We start from the raw sequence: 5,485 nt of genomic DNA, 5'->3' as shown, positions 1-5,485 counted from the left end.
TCAAAACCAGCCTAGGCAATATAGTGAGACCTCATCTCTACCAAAAATTATAAAATTGGCCAGACATGGTGGTGCAAGCCTGTCACCCCAGCTACTTAGGAGGTTGAAGTGGGAAAATTGCTTGAGCCCGGGAGGTTGAGGATGCAGCAAGTCAAGATTGTGCCACTGCACTCCAGCCTGGGTTACAGAGTGAGACCCTGTTTCAAAAAAAAAAAAAAGAAAGGAATTTTTAAAAAACATTTTTTTAAAATTTCCTTTCCTTTTTTTTCTCCCAGGTTCAAGTGATTCTCCTGCCTCAGCCTCCTGAGTAGCTGGGATTACAGGCATGAGCTACTGTGCCCGGCCAGAAAAAAATTTTTAAAAAGAAAAATATTTCCAGGTGCAGTGGCTCATGCCTGTAATCCCAGCACTTTGGGAGGCCGAGGCAGGCAGATCACCTGAGGTTAGGAGCTCCAGACCAGCTGGCCAACATGGGGAAACCCGTCTCTACTAAAAATACAAAAATTAGCCAGACGTGGTGGCACATGCCTGTAATCTCAGCTACTCAGAAGGCTGAGACAGGAGAATCGTTTGAACCTGGGGGGCGGAGGTTGCAGTGAGCCAAGATTGCACCACTGCACTCCAGCCTGGGCAACAGAGCAAGACCTCACTTAAAAAAAATTATATATATATATATACACACGTATATATATATACACACGTATATATATGTATATATATACGTGTGTATATATATATACGTGTATATATATGTGTATATATATACAAGTGTATATATATATACGTGTATATATATATATATACGTGTATATATATATATATGAGAGATGCCCAAGGGGGGAAAATAAAGTAAAACTCATGCATAATCCTAATTTATAGAAAATTATACAAAGTAAGACATAAAATCCCCCCGGGCTAATCACTGATAAATATTGCCTTCAAGTGCTTCCAGAATTGTTTCTGGGTTTACCCAAATGTAATTGAATAACATTTTGACTTTAATTTATGGATTTTTATACACTTTTCCTCTCCCCACTGTCTTTCCCCCAGCCAAGCAAGCAGAAAGTCAACTTTGAAAGTCCTAGTCTCTGAGGGGGTTTGTGGCAGGTCTGAAAAGCACAATAATCTCCAAGATGTCTTGGCTTTTGCCCTAAAAATCTAAGCCCATAGGAGAATGCAGAGGGTTTGTGGAAGAGCTAGAAAGAATGGAGGGATGTTTGCAGAAGTAAATGGCACTGAACAAAAGGAAGATGGTCATTTTATATTTTGTAACCGATACGAGATGTATTCCTGTCATTGGTATGTATGATTCCCCAAACACTGTTGCAAGGAACTAAGCAGGAGTGTTAGGATTCTGGGAGGTATTTACAAAATCAAATCTGTAAAGAAGGAGAGAGGGATAGAGGAGGAAGAGAGGGGTAGAGGAGAAGAAGGAAGAGGAAAGGAGAATTTAAAACCCAGCTAGTATGCCAAAAATGAGCTAAACTGAGGAGCTGAGTAATAAAACGATCAGATAAGAAAAAGAAAGTTCTGAACGAGATGAGACACAGCTTCCATTTAGTGCAAAGGACATGAAGAGGCAATTCACATGGCTTATAGACACGGGAGAAACCACTCGATCTCACACACAATTAAGGAGATGCACATTGAAACAATAATGAGATACCATTGTCTCCTATGGGACTGGCAAACAGGAGGTGGAGTCTGGCCTGTGAGCACCTCTGTGCACATCAGAAAGCAGCACCCCCTTCTGGGAGGATGTGCCTCGTGCCGGTGACCCGGGCGAGTTCTGGATTTCAGTCCTACTCCCTCGCAGCCTGGGTTTCCAAACAAGCTTAGAACCCTCTGCCAAATTATTAAAGGGTTGAGAGTTTAGAAGGAGATGTTTAGAAGGAGACAGAAAAACACTCTCCCACTCCTCAGAAAACGTTTTCTTGTTTTAACTCTGGCGTTCACACTATAATTCTAAATAATATGATTGTGCTTCTGTGTTTTGATTGATCAACTTAAAACCATATTGTCTCCATTGAAAAGAGCGAAATTTAGTTCAGCCTTATTATCCCCTTTTCCCTTGTTTCTACATCAGTTTTGTTTGATATTATTGTGGGTAAATTCCTGCGGTCACTGAATAAATATTTATTGAGAACCTCCACCTCTTTTCTGGGTGCTGGTTGTTCTAATGACTTTATTATTTATAACTTTTTAATTGCCTGCATGGCTTTAAATAATATACTTAATCATTTATTTTTTCTATTCTTATTCATATAAATTCAGGGTTTTTTTTGTTTTGTGCTTTTGCAAGTAATAGAAACTAACTACGACTGGCTTAAAAGGCATTGTAAAAAGAAAGATTATGGGATGGATACTGGGTATATTAACAGAATCCAAGGAAGGGCTGAACAACCAGGGCTTAGCAGGGCCAGCAACCAGGGCAGCTGCAGAAACTCAGCAGCAGGAATGTGCAAACTTCCTCCTAAGGGGCCACTTTTACATCTCTCATGTCAAAACCCTAAGCTCTGCTTCAGCTAGGGGTATAAGGTCATGTGGTATAGATACGGCTGCTGCTGCTGAGACCATTGCACAAAAAGGCAGATTAATTTTTTATTTGTTTTTTAGAGACAAGGTCTGGCTTTGTTGCCCAGGCTGGAGGGCAGTGGCATGATCATAGCTCACTGCAGCCTCAAACTACAGGACTCGAGTGATCCTCCCAATTCAGCCTCCCAAGTAGCCGAGACTACAGGCGTGCACCACCATGTCTGGCTAATTTTTTAATTTTTTTTTTTTTTTTTTTTAGAGACAGGGTCTTTCTATGTTACCCAGGCTGGTCTCAAACTCTTGGACTCAAGAGATCCTCCTGCCTTGGCTTCCCAAAGTGCTGGGGTTACAGGCTTGAACCACCGCACCCGGCAAGATTAATTATTGGATGACCATCTCTAGAATTGTGCCTATGACACAAATGTTCGTTGTTTTTTCATCAGAAGCTTGCTGAGTGAGAATGGGTTCAGGATCTGTTTGGAGAAAAAGCAGATAACACATCTCCCATCACATCCATGACAGAGTCCCTCTCTGGAAATCAGACTGCCTGTACCCCTGGTGTTTGGCTCTCTCTCCCTCAGAAAACATGGAAGTTTATTTGCACTCAATCGTCTGGGTCGATCCTCTCTCTCTCTCTTTTTTTTTTTTTTTTTTTTTTGTTTTTTGTTTTTTGTTTTTTTGTTTTTAATGTGGTCTTTGCTTTGGTAGACCAAACCTACAGACAATCTCTACAGAGGGAACTGCCAGAAAGTCCACCTCCTGGCCAGGCACAGTGGCTCACACCTGTAATCCCAACACTTTGGGAGGCCGAGGTGGGTGGATCATGAGGTCAGGAGTTCGAGACCAGCCTGGCCAACATGGTGAAATCCCGTCTCTACTAAAAAGACAAAAATTAGCCACGTGTGGTGGCAGACGCCTGTAATCCCAGCTGCTTGGGAGGCTGAGGCAGGAGAATCGCTTTAACCCAGGAGACCGAGGTTGCAGTGAGCCAAGATAGCGCCACTGCACTCTAGCCTGGGGGACAGAGCAAGACTCCGTCAGAAAGAAAGAAAGAAAGATAGAAAGAGAGAAAGAGAGAAAGGAAAGAAGGAAAGAAGGGAAGGGAAGGGAAGGGGGGGGGAGGGGAGGGGAGGGAAGACGGGAGGGGAGGGGAGGGGAGGGGAGGGGAGGGGAGGGGAGGGGAGGGAAGGGAAGGGAAGGGAAGGGAAGGGAAGGGAAGGGAAGGGAAGGGAAAAGTCCACCTCCTGCCTTGTGTGTTATTTTCCTGCCTGTGCACGAAAGCCCAGGTCTGCCCCCTGGTGGAAGCCACCAGACAACCTCAAGGAGGAAATTACTGCACTGCCCAGAAGGCGAAATGCCAGTTTCAGAGAGATACATGCCAATGCTTAGCCTAGAGCCTGGCACAGGCTAAGCACTATATACAGGGGTTCGCTCAAAAAAGAAAATAGATAGATCCTGTTCGTTTAAATGCATTGGCCTTAGGGTCACACCTACCTGAGTTCAAATTCCAGCTCTGCTACCTACGAGTTTTGAAACTTTGACATGTGTTTGGGTTTCTTAGGGCTGCCTTAACAAAGTCACACAAACTGGGTGGTTTTTAAAAAATGAGCTGAGCCAGTCGGTCGCTGTGGTTCACGCCTGTAATCCCAGTACTTTGGGAGGCCAAAGCAGGCCAATCACTTGAGATCGGGAGTTCAAAACCAGCCTGGCCAATGTGGAGAAACTTGATCTCTACTAAAAATACAAAAATTAGCCAGGCGTCGTGGAGGGCACCTGGAATCTCAGCTACTTGAGAGGCTGAGGCAGGAGAATCGCTTGAGCCCAGGAGGCAGAGGTGGCAGTGGGCTGAGATTGCACCACTGCACTCCAGCCTGGGCGACAGAGGGAGACCCCATTTCAAAAAAAAAAAAAAGAGCTAGGCACAGTGGCTCACACCTGTAATCCCAGTGCTTTGGGAATTGGAGGCAGGAGGATCACTTGAGCCCAGGAATTCAAGACCAGCCTGGGCAACATAGCAAGACCCTATCTCTACAAAATAAATAAATAAATAAATAATAAAGTATGTTTCAGTTTTGGAGGCAAGAAATCTGAAATCAAGGTGTCGGCCAGGCCATGCCTTCTCTGAAACCTGCAGGGGACTCCTTTGCTTCTTCCCAGTTTCTGGTGGTTTCCAGCAATCTCTCCATGGCTGCAGATGTATCACTCCAATCTTCCATCTTCACATGGCCTTCTTTCTGTGTCTCTTATGACATCTTCCTCCTATGCCTGTCTATTTTGTGTCCACATCGCCCCTTTTTATAAGCACACCAGTTGTATTGGATTATGGCCCACCTTACTCCTGTACAGCCTCATCTTAACTAATTACCTCAATGACTCTATTTCCAAATTAAGCTCACATCTGGGGTACTGGAGGATAAGAAGGACATCAACATATCTTTTTCTGGGCACACAATGCAATTCAACAGCATAGTCTTTCACCTCCTAAGCCTTCATTTAGTCAAGTGTAAAATGAAAATAATTATAGCCAGCTCATAGGATTGAAATTTTCTGACATAGAAAGACATTTGAGGCCAGGCACGGTGGCTCATACCTGTAATCCCAGCACTTTGGGAGGCCAATGCAGGCAGATCATGAGGTCAGGAGTTTGAGACCAGCCTGGTCAACATGGCAAAAGCCAGTCTCTACTAAAAATACAAAAATTAGCAGGGTGCCGTGGTACACACCTGTAGTCCCAGCTACTTGGGAGGCTGAGGCATGAGAACCGCTTGAGCCCAGGAGGCGGAGGTTGCAGTGAGCCAAGATTGCACCACTGCACTCCAGCCTGGAAGACAGAACGAGACTCCGTCTCAAAAAAAAAAAAAAAAAAAAAAAAAAGACATTTGAGATATGTCACTCAGACTAATAGGAAGTTTCAGAGTAAAATACATGCCATGAAATGCCAGTACAGAGT

General features: G+C 44.1%; 1 annotated feature.

The window, feature by feature from the left end:
- Positions 1,529-1,935: a transcriptional cis regulatory region, noted in NCBI's record as "candidate enhancer chr16.1865 targeted for multiplex CRISPR interference". NCBI's record gives its function as "positively regulates PRKCB gene expression in K562 cells {active_cell/tissue: K562}" and the evidence as "EXISTENCE:mutant phenotype evidence [ECO:0000015][PMID:30612741]".

The sequence above is a fragment of the Homo sapiens genome, chromosome 16, assembly GCF_000001405.40.
Source record: "Homo sapiens chromosome 16, GRCh38.p14 Primary Assembly".
Classification (NCBI taxonomy): Eukaryota; Metazoa; Chordata; class Mammalia; order Primates; family Hominidae; genus Homo; species Homo sapiens.
Note: the sequence above shows the minus strand (reverse complement) of the source record. Positions and strands in the feature narration are given on the sequence as shown.